Raw genomic sequence first — 27,771 nt, 5'->3', positions numbered from 1 at the left:
CGTCTTGGTATAAAACCCGATTGTACATTTGTTCAATTCTGAGATAGGAGAAAAACCGCCCTATGGTGGGAGGTGAGACATGTTGGCAGCAATGCTGCCTTGTTATTCTTTACTCCACTGAGATGTTTGGGTGGAGAGAAACATAAATCTGGCCTATGTGCACATCCAGGCATAGTACTTTCCCTTGAACTTAATTATGACATAGATTCCTTTGCTCACATGCTTTTTGCTGACCTTCTCCTTATTATCACCCTGCTCTCCTACTACATTCCTTTCTGCTGAAATCATGAAAATAATAATCAATAAAAACTGAGGGAACTCAGAGACCGGTGCCGGTGCAGGTCCTTGGTGTGCCGAGTGCCGCTCTCCTGGGCCCACTGTTGTTTCTCTATACTTTGTCACTGTGTCTTATTTCTTTTCTCAGTCTCCCATCCCACCTGACTAGAAATACCCACAGGTGTGGAGGGGCAGGCCACCCCTTCAGATTATCAAGAACTCCAATGAAGCCAGCTAAATCTATTTGCCAATTGACTGAATTAACAAAGGCTTTCCAAATCTGATTTTTATTCATTGGAACTATAATCTTATCTGGATCTGAGCCACAAAGTTTAACAACTCTAAGGTGAGCTTGCCCAATCAAGATTGCCATCTGATCCAAGTATACTGTGAGTGTTCTAACAGTATTGTGAGGCAGAAAAGACCATTCAACTAAGTCCTCACTCTGAACTGTAACCCCTGTAGAAGAATGGAGAGTAGGGAACACAATGAACTGTAATGGTAAATTTGAGTCTATTCTATTAACCTGGGCCTGTTGTATTTTTTCTTCAATCATTTGTAATTCTTTGGCAGTCTCAGGAGTCAGTTCTCATTTACTATTGAGAGCAGGGTCACCTCTTAAAATAGAGAACAGATTAGACATAGCATAGGTAGGGATTCCCAAAGGAGGTCAAATCCAATTGATATCCCCTAATAATTTTTGAAAATCATTTAAAGTTTTCAGAGAGTCTTTTTGAATTTGAACCTCTTGGGGTCTAATTGCCCTTTCCTGATCCTGCATTCCCAAATATTGGAAAGGAGTGGATGTTTGAATTTTATCTGGTGCTATGAGCAATCCAGCATTGGCTACCACCTCCTGTAAATATGAATAACACTGGATAAGTCAGTCTTAACTTTTGACCGTACCCAATATGTCATCCATAAAATGAATGATATATGAATCAGGAAACTGATCTCTCACAGGTGGAATAGCCTTCCCCACAAAAGTTTGACAAATAGTAGGACTATTCAACATATCCTGCAGCAGGACTTTCCAATGATATCTGGCTGCTGGTTCCTTGTTGTTCATAGCAGGAATAGTAAAAGCAAATTTCACAAAATCAGACTCTGCTAGAAGAATATTTAAAAAGCAATCCTTCAAATCTATAATTACTAATGGCCAGTCTCTAGGAATCATGGTGGGGGATAGAAGCCCCAGCTGCAGGGCCCCAATCAGCTGAATGAATGTGTTCACCACACGTAAGTCGGTTAGCATGCGCCATCTGCTGGATTTTTTCTTTATTACAAACACCGGCAAATTCTATGGAGAAAATGTGGGCTCAATGCTTCCTTTGTTTAATTGCTCTTTGACTAATTCCTGTAAGGCCCCCAATTTTTCCTGAGTAAGTGGCCACAGCTCAACCCAAACAGGATTTTGGGTCTTCCATTTTAAGGGAATAGGACTTGGAGGCTCAACAGTGACCACCCCTAAAAATGGTAACCTACATGGGAGGTTCCAAGATGGCCAAATAGGAACAGTTCCAGTCTAGAGCTCCCAGCATGAGCGATGCAGAAGACAGGTGATTTCTGCATTTCCAACTGAAATACCAGGTTCATCTCACTGGAGCTTGTCAGACAGTGGGTGCAGGACAGTGGGTGCAGCCCACCGAGTGAGACCTGAAGCAGGGCAAGGCACCACCTCACCTGGGAAGTGCAAGGGGTCAGGGAATTCCCTTTCCTAGCCAAGGGAAGCTGTGACAGATGGCACCTGGAAAATCGGGTCACTCCCACCCTAATACTGTGCTGTTCCAATGGTCTTAGCAAATGGCACACCAGGAGATTATTTCCTACACCTGGCTTGGAGGGTCCCACACCCATGGAGCCTTGCTCATTGCTAGCACAGCAGTCTGAGATCGAACTGCAAGGTGGCAGCAAGGCTGGGGGAGGGGCGCCCACCATTGCTGAGACTTCAGTAGGTAAACAAAGCGGCTGGGAAGCTTGAACTGGATGGAGCCCACTGCAGCTCAAGGAGGCCTACCAGCCTCTGCAGACTCCACCTCTGGGTGCAGGGCATAGCTGAACAAAAGGCAGCAGAATCTTCTGCAGACTTAAATGTCCCTGTCTGACAGCTTTGAAGAGAGTAGTGGTTCTCCCAGCATGGAGTTTGAGATCTGAGAACAAACAGACTGCCTCCTCAAGTGGCTCCCTGACACCTGAGTACCCTAACTGGGAGGCACCTCCCAGTAGGGGCTGACTGATACCTCACACGGCCGGGTACCCCTCTGAGATGAAGCTTCCAGAGGAATGATCAGGCAGCAACATTTGCTATTCTGCAATATTCGCTATTCTGTAGCCTCTACTGGTCATATCCAGGCAAACAGGATCTAGAGTGGACCTCCAGCAAACTCCAACAGACCTGCAGCTGAGGGTTCTGACTATTAGAAGGAAAACTAACAAACAAAAAGTACATCCACACCAAAACCCCATCTGTACGTGACCATCATCAAAGACAAAAGGTAGATAAAAACACAAAGATGGGGAGAAGCCAGAGCAGAAAAGCTGAAAATTCTAAAAATCAGAGCACCTCTTCTCCTCCAAAGGAATGCAGCTCCTCACCAGCAATAGATCAAACCTGGATGGAGAATGACTTTGATGAGTTGAGAGAAGAAAGCTTCAGATGATCAAACTTCTCTGAGCTAAAGGAGGATGTTTGAACCCATCACAAAGAAGCTAAAAACCTTGAAAAAAGATTAGACGAATGGCTAACTGAATAACCAGGGTAGAGAAGACCTTAAATGACCTGATGGAGCTGAAAGCCATGGCACGAGAACTACATGTGCAAGCTTCAGTAGCTGATTCAATCAACTGGAAGAAAGGGTATCAGTGATTGAAGATCAAATGAATGAAATGATGTGAGAAGAGAAGTTTAGAGAAAAAAGAGTAAAAAGAAATGGAACAAAGCCTCCAAGAAATATGGGACTATGTGAAAAGACCAAATCTACATCTGATTGGTGTACCTGAAAGTGATGGGGAGAATGGAACAAAGTTGGAAAACAGTTTTCAGGATATTATCCAGGAGAATTTCCTCAACCTACCAAGGCAGGCCAACATTCAAATTCAGGAAATACAGAGAATGCCACAAAGATACTCCTCAAGTAGAGCAACTCCAAGACACATAATTGTCAGATTCACCCAAGTTGAAATGAAGGAAAAAATGTTAAGGGCAGCCAGAGAGAAAGGTCGAGTTACCCACAAAGGGAAGCCCACCAGACTAACAGTGGATCTCTCAGCAGAATCTCTACAAGCCAGAAGAGAGTGGAGGCCAATATTCAACATTCTTAAAGCAAAGAATTTTCAACCCAGAGTTTCATATCCAGCCAAACTAAGCTTCATAAGTGAAGGAGAAATAAAATCCTTTACAGACAAGCAAATGCTGAGAGATTTTGTCACCACTGGGCCTGCCTTACAAGAGCTCCTGAAGGAAGCACTAAACATGGAAAGGAAAAACCAGTACCAGCCACTGCAAAAACATGCCAAATTGTAAAGACCATCGATGCTAGGAAGAAACTGCATCAACTAATGAGCAAAATAACCAGCTAACTCAAAATGACAGGATCAAATTCACACATAACAATATTAACCTTAAATGTAAATGGGCTAAATGCTCCAATTACAAGACACAGACTGGCAAATTGGATAAAGAGTCAAGACCCATCAGTGTGCTGTATTCAGGAGACCCATCTCATGTGCAGAGACACACATAGGCTCAAAATAAAGGGATGGAGGAAGATCTACCAAGCAAATGGAAAACAAAAAAAAGCAGGGGTTGCAATCCTAGTCTCTGATAAAACAGGCTTTAAACAACAAAGATCAAAAGAGACAAAGAAAGCCATTACATAATGGTAAAGGGATCAACTCATCAAGAAGAGTTAACTATCCTAAATATATATGCACCCAATACAGGAGCAACCAGATTAATAAGGCAAGTCCTTAGAGACCCACAAAGAGACTTAGACTCCCACACAATAATAATGAGAGATTTTAACACCCCACTGTCAACATTAGACAGATCCACAGGACAGAAAGTTAACAAGGATATCCAGGAATTGAACTCAGCTCTGCACAAACAGACCTAATAGACATCTACAGAACTCTCCACCCCAAATCAACAGAATATACATTCTTCTCAGCACCACATCGCACTTATTCCAAAATTGACCACATAGTTGGAAGTAAAGCACTCCTCAGAAAATGTAAAAGAACAGACATTATAACAAACTCTCAGACCACAGTGCAATCAAACTAGAACTCAGGATTAAGAAACTCACTTAAAACCGCTCAACTACATGGAAACTGAACAACCTGCTCCTGAATGACTACTGGGTACATAACGAAATGAAGGCAGAAATAAAGATGTTCTTTGAAACCAATGAGAAAAAAGACACAACATACCAGAATCTCTGGGACACAATTAAAGCAGTGTGTAGAGGGAAATTTATAGCACTAAATGCCCATAAGAGAAAGCAGGAAAGATTTAAAATTGACACCCTAACATCACAATTAAAAGAACTAGAGAAGCAAGAGCAAACACATTCAAAAGCTAGCAGAAGGCAGGAAATAACTAAGATCAGAGCAGAACTGAAGGAGATAGAAACACAAAAAAACCCTTCAAAAAATCAATGAATCCAGGAGCTAGTTTTTGAAAAGATCAACAAAATTGATAGACCACTAGCAAGACTAATAAAGAAGAAAAGAGAGAAGAATAGATGCAATAAAAAATGATAAAGGGGTTATCACCACCAATCCCACAGAAATACAAAACTACCATCAGAGAATACTATAAACACCTCTATGCAAATAAACTAAAAAAGCTAGAGGAAATGGATAAATTCCTCGACACATACACACTCCCAAGACTAAACCAGGAAGAAGTTGAATCTCTGAATAGACCAATAACAGGCTCTGAAATTGAGGCAATAATAAATAGCCTACTAACCAAAAAAAGTCCAGGACCAAATGGATTCACAGCCAAAATCTACCAGAGGTATAAGGAGGAGCTGGTACCATTCCTTCTGAAACTATTCCAATCAATAGAAAAAAAGGGAATCCTCCCTAACTCCTTTTAGGAGGCCAGCATCATCCTGATACCAAAGCCTGGCAGAGACACACACAAAAAAGAGAATTTTAGACCAATATCCCTGATGAACATCGATGCAAAAATCCTCAATAAAATACTGACAAAAAAGAATCCAGCAGCACATCAAAAAGCTTATCCACCATGATCAAGTGGGCTTCATCCCTGGGATGCAAGGCTGATTCAACGTATGCAAATCAATAAACATAATCCATCATATAAACAGAATCAAAGACAAAAACCACATGATCATCTCAATAGATGCAGAAAAGGCCTTCGACAACATTCAACAGCCCTTCATGCTAAAAACTCTCAATAAATTAGGTGTTGATGGGATGTATCTCAAAATAATAAGAGCTATTTATGACAAACCTACAGCCAATATCATACTGAATGGGCAAAAACTGGAAGCATTCCCTTTGAAAACTGTCACAAGACAGGGATGACCTCTCTCACCACTCCTATTCAACATAGTGTTGGAAGTTCTGGCCAGGGCAATCAGGCACGAGAAAGAAATAAAGGGTATTCAATTAGGAAAAGAGGAAGTCAAATTGTCCCTGTTTGCAGATGACATGATTGTATATTTAGAAAACCCCATCATCTCAGCCCAAAATCTCCTTAAGCTGATAAGCAACTTCAGCAAAATCTCAGGATACAAAATCAATGTGCAAAAATCACAAGCATTCCTATACACAAATAACAGACAGAGAGCCAAATCATGAGTGAACTCCCATTCACAATTGCTTCAAAGAGAATAAAATACCTAGGAATCCAACTTACAAGGGATGTGAAGGACCTCTTCAAGGAGAACTACAAAACACTGCTCAACAAAATAAAAGAGGACACAAACAAATGGAAGAACATTCCATGCTCATGGATAGGAAGAATCAATATCATGAAAATGGCCATACTTCACAAGGTAATTTATAGATTCAATGTCATCCCCATCAAGCTACCAATGACTTTCTTCACAGAACTGGAAAAAAACTACTTTAAAGTTCATATGGAATAAAAAAAGAGCCTTCATTGCTGAGACAATCCTAAGCCAAAAGAACAAAGCTGGAGGAATCACGCTACCTGACTTCAAACTATACAACAAGGCTACAGTCAAAAACAGCATGGTACTGGTACCAAAACAGAGATATAGACCAATGGAACAGAACAGAGCCCTCAGAAATAAAACCACACATCTACAACCATCTGATCTTTGACAAACCTGACAAAAACAAGCAAAGGGGAAAGGATTCCCTATTTAATAAATGGTGCTGGGAAAACTGGCTAGTCATATGTAAAATGCTGAAACTGGTTCCCTTCCTTACACCTTACACAAAAATTAATTCAAGATAGATTAAAGACTTAAATGTAAGACCTAAAACCATAAAAACCCTAGAAGAAAACCTAGGCAATACCATTCAGGATATAGGCATGGGCAAGGACTTCATGTCTAAAACACCAAAAGCAATGGCAACAAAAGCCAAAATTGAGAAATGGGATCTAATTAAACTAAAGTGTTTCTGCACTGCAAAAGAAACTACCATCAGAGTGAACAGGCAATCTACAGACTGGGAGAAAATTTTGGCAATCTATCCATCTGACAAAGGGCTAATGTCCAGAATCTACAAAGAACTTAAACAAATTTACAAGAAAAAATCAAACAGCCCCATCAAAAAGTAGGTGAAGGATATGAACAGACTCCTCTCAAAAGAAGACATTTATGCAGCCAACAGACACATGAAAAAATGCTCATCATCATTGGCCATCAGAGAAATGCAAATCAAAACCACAATGAGATACCATCTCACACCAGTTAGAATGCTGATCATTAAAAAGTCAGGAAGCAATAGGTGCTGGAAAGGATGTGGAGAAATAGGAACACTTTTACACTGTTGGTGGGACTGTAAACTAGTTCAACCATTATGGAAGACAGTGTGGCAATTCCTCAAAGATCTAGAACTAGAAATACCATTTGACCCAGCCACCCCATTACTGGGTATATACCCAAAGGATTATAAATCATGCTGCTATAAAGACACATGCACACGTATGTTTATTGCAGCACTATCCATGATAGCAAAGACTTGAAACCAACCCAAATATCCATCAATGATAGACTGGATTTAAAAAATGTGGCACATATACACCATGAAATACTATGCAGCCATAAAAAAGGATGAGTTCATGTCCTTTGTAGGGACATGGATGAAGCTGGAAACCATCATTCTGAGCAAACTGTCGCAAGGACAGGAAGCCAAACGCCGCATGTTCTCACTCATAGGTGGGAATTAAACAATGAGAACACTTGGACGCAGGATGGGGAACATCACACACCAGGACCTGTTGTGCGGTGGGGGGAGGGGGGAGGGAAAGCATTAGGAGATATACCTAATGTAAATGATGAGTTAATAGGTGCAGCACACCAACATGGCACATGTATACATATGTAACAAACCTGCACATATTGCACATGTACCCTAGAATTTAAAGTAAATAAAAAAATTCTTCTTGTTTACATTAGTGCAAGAAACTCCAAAGGCTCTGCATACAGCAAGTCATTTAATCCTCAAAGCAGTCCAAGAAGTAAACGGCTTATTGGTACAGACACCACACAAGGGATTATAAGTGTGGTTGCCATGGGTGAAACAAAAATGCCTCAGGAACTGCTAATCTCTCACCTGGATGCTCAGGGAAGGGTAGGTAAATGAAGTTTAAAACTTGAAGAGTGGCTGGGTGCAGTGGGTCACGCCTGTGGTACCAGCTACTCAGGAGGCTGAAGTGGAATGATTACTTGAGCCTAGGAGTTTGAGGCTGCAGTGAGCTATGATAGCACCACAGCACTCCAGCGTGGGCAACAGAGCATGACAGTATCAAAAAATATATATTTTAAAAATAAATAAAACTTGAAGAGTGAGTAGAAATTCATCAGGGAAACAGAGTGGGAGGAGTGCTGTAGCAGAGGAAACAACTTATGGCAAAGATTCTGAGGAAGGAGTGGTGTGTATTTCAGTACACAAAGCAAGGCCAGCATGGTCAGAAGTGACAGGTGGAAGGTGATTTGAAATCAGGCTGTTGAATGTTGATTCCAGATTACAGTTCCTATAACTAAGGCCAGATAATGCAGACCTTATATACAAGACTGAGGAATTTGAAGTTTAACTTAGGAGCAGTGATGGATTTTTGAGTCCTGGCTTTGATCAGTAGATCAAAAGCAAGAATATATGTCAAGAGAATAGTTAGGTTACTGCAGTAGCCCATCGAGGAAAGAAGGAAGATGTGGGCTAAGGAAGTAATGCTAATGATGGAAGGAAGGAAATGGAATCAAGAAATATATAGGTGGCATAACTAGGACTTGGTATTGATTGGGTGTGGGAGAGATAACTGTGAAGAAGGGTCCCAAGATGATGTCCAGATTACAGTTCCCATAACTAAGGCCAAGAAAAAGGAACGAGGGACTTGGATCTGGGGGATTTGGTGGGAGAACATGAGGAATTGACTTTGTACACTTTTAGTTGTAAGATCTTTGAGAATTCTAGGTGGAAATTTCCTCTTACACACAAGTAGATATGAGGTGTGGAGTTCAGGTAGTAGCTGAAGCCATGAAAGAAAAGAGGTTTCTTAATAAGACTGTATAGCCAGAGAAGAGCAGAAGGCAAGGACAGAACCCTGAGAGACATTGACACTGTTAAGACCTTTGACAGGAAAGAGGACCCTGAAGAATACCAAGAATGAACTACCAGGAAGGTAGGGGCACAAGGAAAAAATATTCACAGAGGAAGAGCACGAACTTACTTTCTTTCTTCCTTTCTTTTATTTATTTTTTTTTGACAATGGTGTTGTTTATTTAAAATGTTTACTCCAAGAAATATATATATATATAATAAGACAATTACAGCACTAAACCAGGCACCTTCGACCGAATCACAACCTCCTCTTTGATTCCCCTTCATGCTAAGCCTCTTTCAAATTATTTTTCCTGAGATGGAAAACCCAGTCAGATGCCCATGGAGTCGACGCCAAGCATGTTCCCAGCCGGGCGACTGTGTACCTTTCTCTAGGAGTGCATGACGCCCTTCCCCCCAACTCCTTGTTTTAAAGGAGTTAACCCATTAGGAAATTCATGTTTCAATCTAAGCCAAAAGGAGGTGCAGGACAAGGCAGGCTTCATTTCAAAGGTCCTTTCCTGCTCCAGTCCCTGGCTAGGGTTCTAGAAGAGGCTGACTGCTGGGTTTATATGAGACTACCAGAAGATCTAAGTCCAGCTCTACCCAGGGCAGCTCCTGCCAAGGCTGGGACCTTGGGTACTGCTTCCTCAACCCTCTTGGTGACCCTGACTCAAAGGAGAGACCTCAAGGGTGCCAGGAGCATAGGTGCCTGGGATGCATTCCAGGAAAGAGACCTGTCCAGGGAAATGGATTAGGCTGTCGCATGGAAGCTTGGGTCAAAGATGGCGATTCTGGGGAGATTTAGACAAGTTAGGATAGTTTAGCAAAGCTCTGAAGTGGCAGAAGCTTCTCCCCTGGACTACTGATTGAACACAGAACAAGAGATGCGCATGGCATCAGACTAAGTCTTAGAGAGATGCAGGCCAGTCTCCTCCCACAGGGCCTTGGGACTGGCGGGACAGATACTGCTACGTGCCCTCTGAGGGAAGGAGTCATGGTAAGGAGTGACTGGGTGGAAAATAGGGAAAAAAGCAAAAGCAACTAGATCATTTTTGGCATTTTAACATGGAGACAGTGACAAGTGGTAACAATAGCAAAAGCCAAAAAAAAAAAAAAAAAAAACGAAGAGACCAACATCTTATGGGGGAGATAACACAAACTTTTAAGAGGGACTAAGTAACCACAATGACAAATTCAACAGAGTTCCAGGGAATTAAGGACTGAGGCATGCACTGGATCTGGCAATAAAGGAGTCACCAGTGATCTCTGTCACCACATTTCTGGCAAAGAGAAAGGTGCATAAATGAGAAGGCAATGGTTAAGATGTGAAACAGGTGAGAAAGCAAAGATTGTACTCACAGAAAACCTTCAGTAAACTTGAAAGGTAGTGCAATTGCTAGAAGGAGACAAAGGACCAAGAAGAGTTTTACTAGGATGAAAGTTCCTTACAGGTATTTGTAGGCAGAGGAACTTGACAGGGAGACTGTAAAGTTAAAAGAGGATACTTGGTGGTGGAAGATTACAATTGTGCTGGGAATGTAGAGGAAGGGGCTAAATCAAGAACAGCTAGAGAGGATGGCTTTCAGAGGAGGAAGTGATTGCATCCTCTGAGTTTTCTCTTTTAAGTAGAAGAGAAAGCTGGATACAATGGTGTGTGCTTGTAACCCCAGCTACTCGGGAGGCTGATGCAAGAGGATCACTTGAGCCAGGAGTTTGAGGCTGCAGCCTGGGCAACACAGGGAGACTCTGCCTCTAAAAAAACAAACAAAATTGCTTTAAAAAATGAGCTAAAGGTGAAGATTACTGATTAAAGTATTGCTTCCTCAAAGAATATTTGAAATCTTAAGAATAATGAACGTATAAGAGATTTTTTTAAATATAGAACAATAAGCTAGGTGCAGTGGCTCATGCCTGTAATCCCAGCACTTTGGGAGGCTGAGTTGGGAGGGTTCCTTGAGGCCAGGAGTTTGAGAACAGCCTCAGCAACACAGTGAGATACTGTCTCTACGAAAAGTAATTTTTTAAAAACTAGCTGGGTGTAGCGGTGTGTACCTGTAGTCCCAGCTAATCAGGAGGCAGAGACAAGAGGATCACTTGAGCCCAGAAGTTCAAGGTTGCAGTAAGCCATGACTGCACCACCCTGCACTCCAGCCTAGAAGATAGAGACCCTGTCTCAAAAAATAAAATAAAATATAGGAGAATGGATGTCAGTAAATAAATGAAAGGCACAAAGTCATTAAAGACACCATCATACAAGAAATTAAAGCCAAAAAAATTATCATCTAATTTTTAAGTTAGGAAAAATTATAAGAAAATATATACCAAGAAGGAAGATGAAAAAAAAAGAATATGATATCAATTAAGGAAAAAAATAACCATATATTTCCATAGTTAAAGTGAATGCTTGGGAAAGGGTACTGCTATAAATTTTCCTGACTATAAGCATCTCACAAAAATCAGTGAAAATGCAGGACAGGAATGTGCATTTCCTGAAGAGAAGACAGGTATCGGAGCCTTGGAATCTTCTTTATAAAGGGCCCAACTCCAGAGATGGCCTTCCCATAACAGTCATATTTACTTAGACTGGATTTTGCAAGGTTTTAGCGTATGCTTCTTTCATAAACAGTTAAAGATAGTCCTAAGCTATCAAAAGCACATTTGCTGGCAAATATGGCTCTGAGAACACTAACAACAATTAGTTCATGTCCAGTTATTAACAGTTCACTTGATCTTACAACTAACTAATGAGGTAGATGACATACATTTTGTTATTATCTCCATTTTATAAATGAAGGAAATGGATTCTCAGAGAGCTTAAGGGACTTGCCCAAGATCTCTAAGCTTGGGTCAAAGTCTTAGACTTTTCAGCTGGTCAGTACATGATAGTGCATGGGCACCAATCTACCTGGGTTCTAGTTTGGTCAATTATTAGAAGTGTGACCTTGGCCAAATTACTCAGCTTCTATATGATTTAGGTCCCTCATCTGTGAAGTAGGAAAAAACGATAATAATTACCGGGATGGTTAACTTTACCTGTCAACTTGACTAGGCATGGGGTGCCCAGATTAAACATTATTTCTGGGCAAGGGCACTTCTGGATGAGATTAGCATTTGAATCAGCAAGGTAGATTCCCCTTCCCAATATGGGTGCACATCATCCAATCTGTTGGGGATGTGAAATAGAAAAAGTGGAGCAAGGAGGAATTTGCCCCTTTATTCCTGTCTCACCTTGAGCTGAGACATCTAATTTCATTTTCTCCAGCCCTGGGACAGAGGTTTATGCTGTCAGCTCCCCTGGTTCTTAAACCTTTTTTAAAAAAATATAAATTGCCCAATCTCAGCAATGAGAGAATATAGCAATGAAAGAAAAGACTTTCTTTTTTCTGTTTTTTTTTTTTTTTTTGAGATGGAGTCTCGCTCTGTCACCCAGGCTGGAGTGCAGTGGCATGATCTCGGCTCACTGCAAGCTCTGCCTCCCAGGTTCCCACCATTCTCCTGCCTCGTAGCTGGGACTACAGGCACCCACCACCTTGCCTGGCTAACTTTTTGTATTTTTAGTAGAGATGGGGTTTCACCGTGTTAGCCAGGATGTTCTCGATCTCCTGACCTTGTGATCTGCCCACCTCAGCCTCCCAAAGTGCTGGGATTACAGGCATGAGCCACTGCGCCCGGCCTAAGACAAGACTAATACACCATGCCTGCTGTATGTAACAGAAGCGTTTGCTCAAAGGCTGACTGAATAGAAAGTTCTCTCTCGAGCATGTTTGTCTCTCAGGAGCCCGCTTACCCCAGCACCTTCCTGGGTCAGTCATCCACAGCTATTTATCCATGCAGCGCTGTATCTGACAGATTGTGGAGGGTTTAGTAAAGTCAAAATCTTGCTTCTTGGGAACAGGCTCAGTGGATAACGTCTTCCACAAGAGCTCGGGAGCTTCAGTGGGGGTGATAGTGTTACAGTAGGTAGTCAGGCAGTCAGGAGAGCCCTCCCACCCACCAGGAACACCAGGTGACCATCAGGGGACAGTCAGGTAGTTGTTAGTTGTCTCTCTCAAATAAGAATTGGTTGCTGCCAGCACAAGGGAAAGGCAGTCTCCCAACAGATAGAAAAAACCTGAAGCTGGTGATCAGCAGCTTCCCAATGAGATCTTAGGAGTTGGGCAAGTGGGCTTGAGCATGCACACAGGGCGGTGAAGTGGCAGAGTTTAACCGGTTGATACCTTATTAGAAGACTCAACTGGTAAGGAAAGAAACACCTTAAGTGAGCATACACACAACTCCAGTAAACACACTGGGCATGTGTCCCCACTTCCACCCTGCACATGTGGACAGCCCACCCCAAGGGAGGAATCAGAGGAGAAGGGATGCTCCCCAACCCCCGACCGCCACAACCTTGCCAGTGTATAAAACCCCAAGTCAAGGGTCAAACCGTGCACTTAATCTCTTGAGTGGCCCACTTGGCCTTCTTCCAAGTGTACTTCGCTTCCTTTTGTTCCTGCTCTAAAGCTTTTTAGTAAATGTTCACTCCTGCTCTAAAACTTGCCTCCATCTTTCCCTCTGCCTTATGCTTCATGCCTCTCCGTCAAATTCTTTCTTCTGAGGAGGCAAGAATTGAGGCTGCAGCAGACCCATGTGGATTTACCCCTGTTAACAATAGATCACACTGCGGCGAAGGAGACAGAAACGCCACAAAAGACCCTGCAGCCCGTCAGGGAAGGAAGCCCGAGCGCCCCAGACGGCCAGCCCTACCGGGGGACTAGCGCGAAAAGCCTAACTGCGTTCCTGGAGAGAGGGGGAGGGTTCAGAGCTGACAGCAGCTCCAGGCCAGTAGTCCCACGCACACCCCAAGACTCATCTCCTTTCCTGCTCCCAGAGGGAGGAAACAACCTGGGCGGGAAGTGTGGTCCTGAGAAGTCCTGAGGCAGCGTCTGGACTTGAACTCAGCTGGATCCACTCTAGGTGCCCTTGGAGAACTATGGTCTCGGTGGTGTCCGGACGCACTGAGGCATCCTCTCTACCCTCACCCACTCGCCCGAGCTGTGCTGGGTCCCCAAAAGCCCCAGTGGGACTTCCTTGCCCGCACCTGCCCTTGCGCAGCTGGAGGCGAGGGAAGCCGCATGTGATCCTTACGGATAGCTGCGCTGTCTTCAGACGCTCAGAGCATCCCCCACTGACCTTAGCTTTCTGCCTTTCCAGCTCCTTTACAGTTGGGATGTTTTTTATTGTCGAGTTGCGCTATAGCAGAATGTTTGTATCCACCACAAAATGCCTGTGTTGAAACCCAGTCCCCACTGAGATGGTTCAGATGCGGTAATGAGGGTGGAGGCCCAAGACAGGATTAGGATGAAGGGCCCGAGGCTTCCCATTTCCGCTAGGCAAAGGTGCTGTGTGAAAACCACAGTCTGCAAACCAGGGAGCCACCTTCACCAAGAACGGCCAGCTGGCACCCTGATCTTGGGCTTCAGCCTCCAGAACTGTGAGAAATAAATTGTTGTCAAAGCCATTTAGCCTATGGTAGTCTGTTTAGACAAGTCGTAAAAGTTATTTATATATTCTGGATATTGTGCCCTTATCAGATATATGATTTGCAAGTATTTTCTCCCATTCTATAGGTTGTATTTTCACTTTCTTGATGGCATTTCTTGAAGCACAAAAGTTTTTCATTTTGAAGTCCAACCTATCTTTTATTTGGTTGCTTGTGTTTGTGGTGTCACTTATAAGAAACTATTGCCGAACTCTAGGTCACAAAAATTTATGCCTTTTTTTTTTCTAAGAGTTTTATAGTTTTAGTCTTACAAATAGGGGTTTCATCTTTTTTTTTTTTTTTTTTTTTTTTTTTTGAGACAGAGTTTTGCTCTGTTGCCCAGGCTGGAGTGCAATGGTGCAATCTTGGCTCACTGTAACCCCTGCCTCTTGCCCTTCTGCCTCTGCCCTTCCATGAAGACATCTTCAGCCTGCTTAGGCTGGACACACTGTGCCAGTCTTGCTATATGGATGGCCTCCACCTTGCTGCTCTTTCCTGCTTTGGTTCCCCCAGCCCTGGTATGGATGCTACCTTGCTCAGCTTTACTTTATACCTTTGGGACTAAGTTGTCTGGAAAGGAGAAGAGGAAATGTAGAATCTTGGTCTTTAGAATTAAAAGGCTGTGGTCTTTTTATTATGCCATGTTTCCTGCTTGCTGTATTGCTTCAGGTTGTGAGGCAGATAACAAAGAGTTGCCTCTCCAAAAGGAACCCCCAAAGCATGAAACCACAGTGGGTGGTATGTGTTAAAAAGGAGATATTGACTAAGCACCCAACTTTTTTAAAGCCTACAGAGTTGTGAGTCTACTAGAGAAATATCAGGGAAATCTTTGTAGAGGAAAACTAAGAAAATGTTTAAGAAAGTACTAGTCAAGTACATGTGAAGATAAATCACAGTGATCCATAAAAACATTCCATGGGAGAAAAGCCAGGAGTATAACAATGTTGACAGCATCCTAGACTTGACCTCAAACCCTGTAGCATATCTGAATGTTCCCACAAAAGAGAAAACCTATCAACGTAATTCATCTGGACACAGCTTCAGATAACTCACATTTTAACAATCACCAGAAAGCCCACATCCTAATGAAATCTCAAAAACATGCAGAACGTCAGAGTACAGCCTTTAATGAGCACCCAAATAGTTACCATGGAGAGGAATTGTGTAGTGTAGTGAACATGGTAAGCCTTAAGAAGGACTAACACAATTTAGAAAACACCAGAGATTTCACTATAAAGACAAGTTCTATGAAGGCAGAGTGTGGGAAAACCTTCAACTACAGCTCTAATCTTGTGTAACACCAAAGAATCCACATTGGAAATAAGCCTTATCAGTGTAACAAACGTGGAAAGGCCTTTGTTTAAAGTTCTAACCTAATTTCCCATCACAGAACTCACACTGGACAGAAACCCTATGAATGTAATGAGTGTGAAAGGGCATTCTCTCTGGGATCAACCATTATGAAGCATCAGGGGAATACTACTGGTGAGCAACCCTACACACATGTAAAAAATGTGGAAAGGTCTTTGGTCAGCATCCAGCCTTTATTCGACATCTGGAAGTTCACACAGGGTAGAAATCTTATGAACATACTGGATGTGGAAAACCCTAAAAATAACAGTTCTGCCCCGTTAGCCATGGAAGAGCAGACTGGTGAAAGCAGTGTACAAAGTAATAAAGACAATTTGCTAAAGGTCATTTAAACCACAGGACAGACTAGATCTTAGAGAAGTACAGTTCCTCCAGGATGTGACTGCTGTGTGCTGTGACCAGAAAGTAAATTGTACTCTACTAGTTTCAGCTGGAAAACAGTAAATATTTTTCTGAAATGTTAATCTGATCTTGCCTCTCCCTGCTTAAATCCTTTAATGACTTCCCACATCCTATAGCAGCATTTCTCAAAGCTGCTAACAGCAGAGGTAATGTGGAAGGAAAATGAAATAAAATAAATAACATTAAAGTTTAAAATAACAAACACAACATAGGTAATAGTTACCATTTAGTGTAGGCTATTTAGAAGTTATACATAGGCTAAGAAATTTAAGCAGCCACTCTCAGCATTGCTAAGAAGTTGCACCTGCGAGCTTATCTCAACCTTCCAAGCTTATCTCCGGCCTCGCGACTCCCTCATACTTCCGTAATTCCTGTTTTCCCTTACCCCAGCTCTGTCCAGCTTCAAGGTTGACTGGTCAAGATAACTAAATGTAAGTTTTCTCAGAATTGTCACAGGTTGAATAATTTACTGTCTTTGTCTGAAACTTGTATCCTGCCTTGTTTTTCACGCCTGAAACGACATATAAGCAAGCCTGCTTTCTTTGTCTGGGTCGGTAGCCATTTTGGGCATGAGCCTGCTCTAGGCTCGGGTGCCCGAATTGAAGTTCTCTTTGGTCTCCAACTGTCTCTTCGTCTTCCTTGGCTAGAGTCTTACTGCAACAGTAAGTGCTCACTAAATACCCCTAGTGAGTTTGGGATCAAGGGAGTAGGAAAGCAGGAAGAAAAGAAATAACAGTCAACAGGGGAAGTGAGATGTTGCAAAGGCCGCTCTCAGAACGGACCCCACTATCCTTAAAAGAAAAGGCTAGCTTGTGCCAATGGGCCAGAGTGGAACAGGCATCCCATGGAGTATACCTGGAAGATTCCTGGGTCTTCTGCATGAGTTGCCCCTAATGCCCACAGTGTTTCTAAACGAGAAGGCAGGTACGTGGTACTTGGGGCGGCCATCTGTGTTAGCTAACTGCCTTTATCCAAAGTTAAAATAAACCTCATGTCTCTATGACAAGCAGGTAATTGCAACTTGGAGCCAGCCATCTGCTAAACTCCCACAGAGACAAGGAGGGAAGCTATCTTCCTTGGCCTTTTTATTTCAAAGAAATCACTCCAAGGTCCTTAAGAAAGGTCCTTAAGAAAGAAATTCCTGGTTTATAAAACTGGCAAGAGGCTTATGCAGCTTTTTAAAAAATTTACATACATTTCAAGAGGGCAAAGAAAGATTTTCCTATTACAAAGTTTTCTAAAAGAAATGGTCTTAGTAAAAGGAAAGGAGTGTCTCTTCCCTTGGGCACCATGAAAAATCCAACTTTTAAAAAAATATTTAGGGCCGGGCGTGGTGGCTGACACCTGTAATCCCAGCACTTTGGAAGGCTGAGACGGGTGGATCACTTGCGCTCAGGAGTTCAAGACCAGCCTGGGAAACATGGCAAAACACCACCTCTACAAAAAAATACAAAAACTAGCTGGGCGTGGTGGTGGGCGCCTGTGGTCCCAGCTACTCCGGAGGCTGAGGTGGGAGGATCGCTTGAGCCCAGGAGTCGGGCCGTAATTGCGCCACTGCACTCTGGCCTGGGAGACGGAGAGAGACCCTGTCCCGCCCCCACCTTCAACCACCCCCCAAAAAATTAAAGATTTAGTGTGGTGGCGCGTTGCTTGTAGTCCCAGTTACTCGGGAGGCTGAGGCAGGAGGATCGCTTGAGCCCGGGAGGTCGAGGTTGCAGCCTGGGCGACAGAGCAAAACCCCATCTCTAAAAAATAAAATACCCTATGGCTCTTCCCACAACTGCTCATTCTCTGACATCTTAATGCTCCCACTGTCCCACTGAAGACGGGCTGCTTTCCTTTCCATTCTCGTAAGTCCTCCCTCCGGGCCCGTGCTCCTCACCTGCCCGGGTCGCACCTGGCCTCTCCCCTCACTCCGCTTCACCCCCGCCCGCCGCCCGTTCCGCAAGCGCGTCTCAGCACCGAGTGGTTGGTTCTCGAACTCCAGCTCCACCGCAATAGGTCTGAAACCTCTCTGCACCTCGGCTTCCTCATTTAAGCGATGGCAGCAGCCTTCTAGAGGGGGCGATGAGGTCAAAAGACTACAGGTGGGAAGTGCTAGGTGCACAGCGGGCGCGAGCTGGATTCTGAGCTTGATCACTACTTGGAGGTGGGGGAAAAGTCGCCCGAGAGAGGGGGACAGTGCACCGCGAGACGTCCTAGGTGAGGAAGGGCCGGGTCCAGAGCACGGAGAACAACCCCCGGTTGAGGAGCGTCCGCAGGAACGCTCGGTGTCGGGGTCCCTTCCTTCGCAGCCGCACGCCGCCGGCGGCACCTCTGCACCTGCGCCCTCTCGCCCGCAGACTCCGCCAAGGGCTGGAAGGGACGTAACCGGGAAGGAGCAGGACTGCCGGAGCATTGAGTACTATCAGCCGCCTAGAGCGGACCCACGAAACCTGGAATTCAATTGGTTGGTGAGCTGAAGGGCAGGGCGGAAGTTCAGATTAGGCATTTCCGGCCCAGGGGGCTTGGCTCCCCGCGGCACGGGATTTAGCGTTCGCGCTCCTTCCCTTCCCGTGGTCGAGCCGAGTGAGTCCCGAGCTAGGGCGCCTGGTGCGGAGGTGCCGGAGTGGCGCTGGGGCGGGCAGGGGCGGTGCCGTGGTTCTGAGAGGCCGCAGGTCGGGCCCCGCGGCCTCAGTGACCCGTAGAGGACGCGTCGAGGGCGGCTGCGGGGTGCTGAGCGCCCGCTTTGTGTTGGCCGAGGCGCGGGCAGGGCGAGGGTGGCGTGAGGCACGAGCGGAGGCAGCGGGGCGTGCAGGTCTACGGGCTGTCATCCACGCTCCCGAGCAACACTGAGGCAGGGAAGCCAGATGGGTAAAAAGATCTCGCAGAGGAAGGGAGTTTGGGCAATGTCAGGGGATGAGCTGAATTGTGCTTTTTTTTTTTCAGAAGAGAGAAAAGTGCATTTCATTTAGCAGGAATGTATTGATTGAAAGGGTAAAGCTGTGAGAGCTGTGGTGTGAAGGAGCTTCTGTTTTGGGGAAGGAAAGGAATAGGCAGGAGGTGATATCTCACAGATGCGCTGGAACAAGCTCAACACTCATTCATTTAGTAGGCACTCGGTAAATGCTGACTTACTGATTAGGACAATTGAGACTTAGTATTGTTTGCGGTTTGCTAATACTGTGCTGAGCATTTTATACATATTCTCATTTAACGCAATATAGTCACTTAAGGAGTAGTGTCAATCTCATTTTATGGTCTGTGGAAAAACTCAAGTCACTTACCTGAGACCTCTGCATGAGTAAGTGGTGGATCCAAGGTTAGAACTCAGTCCTATTCGAGTCCAGAGCCCATGCGCCTAATAGCAGCATTACATGCCTGCCACATGCGTTTAGGAGTGAAGGCAGAGTACACTAAGAGGTACCGCTTGTGATTCACAAAGGGCATAAGCAGCAGGGGCCAGTCAAAGGCAAGCCCTGTCTGAGGACTGGAAGATTCCCTCTGGCCAAGGTGTGCCTCAGCTGGAGACTGTGAAGACATCAATGAGCTTATGTTCAGCTGCCAGTCAGAAAGTCTGTCCAACGAAGGCTTAAATGATGATGAGACAGGGTTTGTTCCAGAGTTTGTTGTGAAATGCCAGGGCTCTAGAACGTGTCTCCAACGTTCTCTTGGCTTTCCTTTGTGGTCACTCCATTCCCCTTATTTCCTTTCAGATGCCTCTTGGCAAACTTCCCTTAACATCTTGGTGACGAGAACTGGGCCTTGCGGTCACCTAGAGCGGAAGGAAAAGGGCGCATTTCCTCCTGAACTAAACTAAGGAATTTGTTTATGTGTAGAGGGCTGTGGGGAGGTGACTTGTTGTGTATGCTGAGGCCAATTGGGAAGGCTTTTGTGGGAGTGACACATATCACTGCTAAAATAAAACCAGATTTGTGGTTTTAGATGTCATCTGTGTACTGACAGTTTTCAGTATATACCCAGCCAGCCCAACCTCACTCCTGAATTTTCAACTTGTATATCCAAATGCCCTAATTTTCCATTTATAAATCTAATAGGTATCTTAAACATTACTGTATACAAGACAACTTTTACATTTAATCTTTTTGCAGTCTTACTCTTTTGAGTATATGGAAATTTCATAATTTCAGTTGCTCAGGCCAAAAATCTTGGTGTCTCGTCCTACATGAAATTCATCTGCAAATCCTATTGATGGTACCTTTGAAATGTATCCATAATCTGGCTGCTTTTTGTCACTTCTGCCACCACCAGTCTGGTCCAGGACATTCATCTCTAGCTGGATTGTTGCTAGAACCTTCTGACTGGTTTCCTGTTTTTGTTCCTTACCCCCACCCCATAGTCTATTCAAAGCACCCTCAAAGCAGCAGCTGTAGAGACCACATCTGAGGTCATATGACTCTTCCCAGACATTCCAGGCACTTCCCATCCATTCAGAATAAAACCCATTGCCCTAAGGCTTACAAGGTACCCACCCCAGAGGGTACCCACCTCTTTTACCCTCCCCTAGTCTGTTTGAGCCCCTCTGGCTTCTTTGCCCGTTCTTGAACACAGGTGTGCTTGCATCTCAGAGCCTTTGCACTTGTGCCCTCCTCCTGCCTGGGATGTACCTCACTGATAACCACATGGTGCCTACCCTCACTCCATCCAGATCTCTGATTTGTTGTCACTTTATCGGAGGTGTCTTCCCTGGCCATCCTGTGTAAAATATCTCTTACCACCAGTCGCTGCCCTCGTGCTGCGTCATTAATTTTTTGTATCCTTTGTCATTACCTGACACCACCTGGGCGTTGTGTCTGTGTGTCATGCATATGTGTTAACTTCTCCATTTGCTCATTCGCTGCCTTAGCACCAGAGCCTGGTCCGCTGTTCTCAGCTGTTTGCCGTCTGCGCAGGACCTCATAGGTGGGCCTGGGAAACGCAGTCCATTGTCTCTCCTGGCCAAGTGCACTGCCACAGTCCTGGCTTTCACATGGTGGCCTCAGGATGCTGTCATCCCAGGGGCCTCAGGAAGGCCTCTCTTGAGACATGGAGAGGTATGGCAGAAAATTAGGGAGGGGATATGGTCTCAGAGACCACTGGCTACTTAGTTCATCCACCTTTCCTGGGGTGTTCAGGCAGCTCATAATTGGGTCTCTGCTACCACAAAATGTCTAGGCTTAGAAGTCTCAGAGCACCTATGGGGAGCAGAAGGTTGGTCAGGCTCCATCACCCTCCTCTCCCTACAGCTCTGCCCACACCTCAGGACAAGCTCAGAGACCTAGTGATGGCTGTCATGCAGCTCCTTCTTGGTGGGCTCCAAGTGAGTGGTCCTCATGGAGTCTCTTCCATGTGACCTCAGCCTTTTCTCAGCAGGAGTCTGTCTATAAGGAGCTGGTCCCAGAGGGTGGACAGCTCCCTGTCTCCACCGATGTCCTCAGTTCCTGAGTTCAAGTCCCTGAAATGTACTTCTCACTGTTTTACTGTCCCTGGACCAGGTACAGTAGAGGTCAGAGTTGGGGCACACCAAGATGAGCCAATATAGTGTCTGCCTCAAAGAGTTCACATTAGTGGGGAAGACAGGTACATGTTCCCAGAGGGATTTTACCAGTCCTGAGCCTAATATCTTCTCCCTCCAGGTCCTGACCTGAGGGCTGCATCAAGATCTTGTCATTCCACATCGTGGTTTCCTTTGAGGATGTGGCTGTACCCCTCTCCCAGGAGGAGTGGGACTGTCTGATCCCTGCTCAGAGGGGCCTCTACAAGGATGTGATGATGGGGACCTATGGGAACCTACTCTCATTAGGTAAGTTCCCTCCCTGGGGCTCAGCTCCTGGGCTTCCTGCTCCTTAACCTTGAGGATCAAGCTTGGGGCTCAGAGGCTCCTCACCCCCTGGGCCCAAAGACCAGACATTTTGACCATGGTACCATGCAGGTCTGGTTTGCACAGAGAGGGGGACAGGTGGTACTGGGACCCTCCTTGATTTTTTTTTTTAATAGGCAATGTCTCACTCTGTTGCCCATCCTGGAGTGCAGTGGTGAGACCATAGCTCACTGTAACCTTGACGTCTTTGGTTGAAGAGATCCTCCTACCTCAGCCTCCCAAGTACCTGAGACTACAGGCATGGGCCACCATGCCTGTCTTATTTTACTTTTTTAGAGACAGAGCCTCTGTGTTGCCCAGGTTGGTCTCAAACTCCTAGCCTCAAGGAATCCTCCCACCTTGGCCTCCCATGCCTTTCCAACCCTCCCTGATTTATAGAAGGAGAATATTATTCATTGCACACCTAGTACCTCCCTATCCCCTGAATTAATCTTTCTGCATCTTGATGATCGGTGGTAGGATACACAGTTTATAAACGAACCTGAGGCTAACAAATACTGTCACTTTTCTTAAGTTTACACAGCCTATTGGTGGCAGATCTGGGATATGGATCTGTTCGGTTTCAGAGCCCTGCTTTCCTTTCACTGGAATGTGCTCTTCGCTTTAGCCCTTTTTTTTTTTTTTTTTTGGTTTCTGCTAGCCTTTATTTGAGAAAATTTACACAAAAATCCCCAATGCAACATTTACAAGTGAATCTGTATAAATCCCATATGCCTCTTTCCCAAACTGAAAAATGGCTTTATGACAGGGGTCCATGACAATGGTATAAAAATACTTACTTAAACTGCATCATTCTCATTTATATTATACAGACCATTTTGGATAATATGCTCAAAAGTGGAGGAAAGCACATAACACCCCTGTTTTTAAAGATTATTTGCTCTTGTATCAGTCTTTTGTCAAAGGCAAATACTTTTACTTCTTGGATAAAACCAAGGTATAATATCAATTAACTTTTAAACCAAAAGCACAAAATGTCCTAGTTGATAGTTTTGGCATGAGTAAAGGGAAGGGACATGAGAGAACATCAGCTCCTACAAAGCTTAAGTTTAGGGTCACACTTGGGAACAAAAGCATCAACAAAACAAAATATTCTCTTCTCCTATCTTCTTGACATTTTGTCACATCAGAAGAACATAACTAACAGAGTAGCTTTCATTGCTCCTGAAAAGGGGAAAGGCACCAGTCAGAAATAGGAAAGAAAATCTTGTTAGGTTAATGGTACATGATAGAATTTCACATTAAAAAGTTTAATGATGGAGGATGGGCGTAGTGGCTTACACATGTAATCCCAGCACTTTGGGAGGCTGAGGTCAGTGGATCACTTGAGGTCAGGAGTTCAAGACCATCCCGGCCAACACGGTGAAACTCCATCTCTACCAAAAATACAAAAACCAGCCAGGTGTGGTGGCATGCACCTGCACTCCCAGCCACTCTGGAGGCCGAGGCGGAAGAACTACCCGAACCCAGGAGGTGAAGGTTGCAGCAAGCTGAGATAGCACCATTGCACTTCAGCCTGGGCATCGCAGCAAGACTCTGTCCCAAAAAAAAAAAAAAAAAAAAAAAAAAGTTTAAGAATGGAATCCAAGTAGACTTGGATGTACCCTCTGTAACTTAGTATATGTAATACTACATGTAGACTTTCTCAACATCTGCTGCCTATGGTAAGGATCTGCAGCCAGGTTCTCAGAAGCAGTACCTACCAATTCTTAACAGCAGGTGGCAATGTTGTACAAGTTAACGACAGAACTACTTTTATGCCACATGAGAGGAAGATACAAGGAGTCAAAAGGGGGAAAAAAACAGGTTTGGGTTCATAGTAGCAGGAACATGAACAGAATAGCCTGAGATTTTAACAACATAACTCATTCCCTCTTCCACCTTTGTACTTTATCCAGGTCAACACATCAGGGTTCTCTAACAATTCCAGTATTCTGCTTCTTTACTGTAAAATACATGTAATTCTTGCCACTGTGATTAAATAAGCCCTGTGATAGCAGGGTTAAAAAGAGATTACAGAAAGGATAAACTCTACCTACTTTCTTGAGAGATGTGGGAAAGATTTCAAGTGACAGCATTTTTCATAGCTGTTTATAAACATGGTCATTTATATCCACATTTTCTCTTATTTACATTAGTTTTGGCCCTTAGGCACCTCATACTCCTACAGTGATTATTGGCTTTGCTTTCATTGGCTTTGTATTTTTAAGTATTTACCCTCTTAATGGCCCTCCTAGATATCTATTTTATACATCATATTTCTTAATTATCTAGATGGAACACTGAAGGACAGGAATTAAGTAAGTGACTGGCCATGCAAGAAGAGTTGTAAATTTTACTTATTTTTCCTTGGTAGAAGTTATGTTAAAAATTCAAGCAACCACGTATCTAACAGAAGAGTTTTATCTAGGATGTATAAAAAAACTCTGAAAACTCAATAGTAAAAAGAACAAATGACCTAAATAGAAAATAGACAAAAGACATGAGCAGACATTTCACTGAAGAGGATGTGTAGATGGCAAATTAGCACACGAAAAGATACTCAACATCATTAGCCATTGGAAAATGCAAATTAAAACCACATGTGGTATCATTACACACATCTATATGAATGGTTAAGATAAAAAATAGTAGTAATACCAAACGCTGGTGAGGATGTGAAGAAACTGGATCAGTCATACATTGCTGTATGAATTGTATGAGTGGCTGTATGTAAAAGGTACAGCCACTCTGGAAAAAAGAGTAGGGTAGTTTCTTACAAAGATATACGTGTTTACCACACAACCCAGCAATTGCCCTTTTGGGCATTTATCCCAGAAAATGAAAATGTGTGTTCACATAAAAACCTGTACATGAATGTTCACAGCAGCTTTATTAGTAAGGGCAAAAAACTGAAAACAACTCTTTTGTCCTTTAGTAGGTGAATGGTTAAGCAAACTGTGGTACATCCATACCATGGGATACGACTCAACAATCAAAAGGAACTGCCCAGACTTCACCACGATGCAATATATGCATGTAAGAAATCTGCACTTATACCCCCTAAATATATAAAACATTTTTAAAAGAAAAAAAGGAAGAAGATACATGCAACAACTTGGATGGATTTCAAGGGAATTATGCTGAATGAAAAAAAGTCAACCTCATAAGATTACATTCTATATGATTCCATTCATATGACATTCTTGAAATGACAAAATTACAAAGATGGAAGACAGAACAGTGGTAGCCACAGGTTGGGGTGAGGGGATAAGAAAGGGATGTGGCTGTGGCTGTAAAAGCGCAGCACAAGGGATCCATGTGATAGAACTGTTCTGTCTCTTGTGATGGTGGTCACATGAATCTACACATGATAATACTGCATATAATTGTCTAAAATGACATTTTCTTCAAGAGTTATCTACAGTTTAAAGCTCACTTTTATGAAGTGTCACATCCATCACCATTTTAAGAGACATAAAATCATGAAAAGATATCACCAGAAGCTACGTAAACATTTCAGCTAAGGGTAAAGAGAAAGTTAAGAGTGTTTTCACAAGGAAATTGAAAGAAGGCAATCCGAATGAAGTCAACTTGGTCACACAAAAATCTTGGTAAAAGAACTAGAATGGAAGCCCAAACTGCTGAGCAAGTGGGAGAAGAAAAGAAAACTTGGTTCAAACAGATCACACAAGGGAACCCAGGACAAATGCTGACTTTGGCATTATCTAGGTAACCCTTTTTTTTGTCATAGGTGACTCTAATAATAGACCTGTTGTTGCAAAACCAGTCAAAATCCTACCAAATTAAAAAGAAGTCCCTCATTGACTTGTTGGGTGTAGGTGGTACCCCATGTCCTCGCACACCAAAAGAGATCATTTCTGGCAAGAAAGCTCCTACATGCCTTGATGGTGCTGCTGGTAGGATGCCTTAGGCCAGGCCCATCCCAGCGATGTTCTGCTGGCTGTGGTAAAAGGTGGGAGGAGAATATGCCTTATTCATTACTCAATCAACTTCTTAGCCTTGAAGAAGCATCACAGGTAGAAGACCTGCCAGGTGGCTAGTCCAGTGAGGCAGAACATTGAAAAGATGCTGAAGTGTAGGACCCAAGTGTTTGTTGACTCACTGGTATCACCATCTCCTCTTCTCTCTTCTTCATGTAGGCAAAATCATTAACAATAGATTCTGAAAGGTCTTCTAGGTGTCGCAGCTTCACCTCTAATGGTTTGAGCTTCTCAACTTTTGCAATCTCTCTGTAATTTTTCACCTCCACTCCATGCTTCATGTCTAGGATCACAAGTTGGTCAGGTATCTGCCCTGTTTCCTTGCTCTCAAAACACACTTCAAACATGTCATAATCTTCAGTGGTAAAGGCAAATTTCCCCTTGGTTGTATTCTTTTTGGAGTAGAAAATATGGCCAGCAGAATCTGTGATCTTGAGGTGGCTGCACAGGCCACCAGTGCCCCCAGACTGGTCAGAGATCTCGTATGTGCCAGTCACTAGTAGGTCCTTGTGGATCTCCTCATGGAAGCAGTTGTGAGAATTAATGGACAGATGGAAGGAGATGGCGAGGACCAAGCTGGGGCCCAGCAGGAACAAAAGCAGCAACGCCGATGGACAAGGGCCATGCCGGGCTGGTGGGCCAGACAAACCAGACATGGTGCTGGAGACTCATTCCCCCTTTAGCCCTTCTGCTGGGGATCAACACCCACTACTATGAGTCCTCTACCATGATGTGTTCAGGCCCCAACACTGTCCTATCTATGCTCCCCGTCCTCCTGAAAAGCTAGTTTTGACCTTTCCTCAGCTTAGGCAGAGGCCTGTGTCTTTCTCCACGGTTAGAGACCAGGTGGCAGGGAAGGACACAACCAGCACAAAGACTCAGACCACAGGTCCATCCTGCCCTCTACCTGGGATGACTTTTCAGGTCTTGCTTCCTTTCTCTGGAGCAGGACTTCAAGCTTCCAAACCTGATGTCATCTCCAGGCTGGAGCGGGGGGACGAACCATAGACCCCTCACATCCTGAGAACTCAGGGGAGCTGGAGCTGGAGGCACAAGAGAGAAGGTGAGTCTGCCCCCACTCTCTGCTTCTGTGGTAGGTGCTGCAGCTTCACTCACGAATCCCTTCTCTACAAGCCCCAGACAAATCTCTTGTTACCCTCAGGCCTTTGCTTTCCTCCTCCTTTTTCTATCTTGTCCTCTTTCCTTGCTGTTATTTGCCCCTGTTATCTGCCCATAAGTAGGTTTGTGTTTTATTTACCCTAGAAAAATGCTATTTCAGCCACAAAAAATAGTTCAAGTGTCCTTCCCAGGCAGCTGGCTCCCAGTCCCTTCACTTCTATGTCATCCACTCCTTAGGCTGTTTGGGAAAAATGCTAATTACATTTTTCCTCTGCTCTGACACCACAACAACAATCAACAAAGACTTCGTGACCAAATGTATGGAGGGTTTTTCCCATGTTCCAAGCAGCTCTAATTCAATTCAATTCTGGTGCTCTCTTGGAGATAGCCTCAGATCCCACAGGCTGAGGGCTCAGTCTCTGAGACTGTCCACTCAAGGCACTAGTTGTAAGTTCGGGGTTTCCAAA

General features: G+C 44.0%; 1 long non-coding RNA gene and 2 pseudogenes across 3 annotated transcripts in view, besides 2 other annotated features; 1 reads left to right on the top strand and 2 right to left on the bottom strand.

The window, feature by feature from the left end:
• Nucleotides 1-15,680: 15,680 nt before the first annotated feature.
• On the bottom strand, nt 15,681-18,916 carry ZNF252P-AS1 (ZNF252P antisense RNA 1). The gene has a single exon (NR_026974.1). It is a non-coding gene; the product is annotated as a ZNF252P antisense RNA 1 (long non-coding RNA).
• Nucleotides 17,947-18,523: an enhancer, noted in NCBI's record as "H3K4me1 hESC enhancer chr8:146228590-146229166 (GRCh37/hg19 assembly coordinates)". NCBI's record gives its function as "activates a minimal SCP1, AML or CMV promoter by ChIP-STARR-seq in naive H9 embryonic stem cells {active_cell/tissue: H9 hESC(naive)}" and the evidence as "EXISTENCE:reporter gene assay evidence [ECO:0000049][PMID:30033119]".
• Nucleotides 18,074-18,203: an enhancer, noted in NCBI's record as "active region_28111". NCBI's record gives its function as "activates an Ori minimal core promoter by ATAC-STARR-seq in GM12878 lymphoblastoid cells {active_cell/tissue: GM12878}" and the evidence as "EXISTENCE:reporter gene assay evidence [ECO:0000049][PMID:35858748]".
• ZNF252P (zinc finger protein 252, pseudogene) overlaps nt 18,828-27,771 on the top strand; it is a 29,311-nt pseudogene continuing 20,367 nt past the window's right edge. Inside the window, exons 1-4 of the transcript NR_023392.1 lie at nt 18,828-18,910; nt 21,958-22,124; nt 25,120-25,220; nt 27,135-27,248. The product of NR_023392.1 is annotated as a zinc finger protein 252, pseudogene (transcript). The remainder of the gene's footprint in view (nt 18,911-21,957; nt 22,125-25,119; nt 25,221-27,134; nt 27,249-27,771) is intronic.
• Nucleotides 22,830-26,862, bottom strand: TMED10P1 (transmembrane p24 trafficking protein 10 pseudogene 1; annotated as a pseudogene). Its single transcript, NR_002807.4, has one exon. The product of NR_002807.4 is annotated as a transmembrane p24 trafficking protein 10 pseudogene 1 (transcript).

Source organism: Homo sapiens, chromosome 8 (assembly GCF_000001405.40).
Source record: "Homo sapiens chromosome 8, GRCh38.p14 Primary Assembly".
NCBI classification, from domain to species: domain Eukaryota; kingdom Metazoa; phylum Chordata; class Mammalia; order Primates; family Hominidae; genus Homo; species Homo sapiens.
The sequence above is the reverse complement of the archived record's forward strand: the minus strand, read 5'-3'. Positions and strand labels throughout refer to the sequence as shown.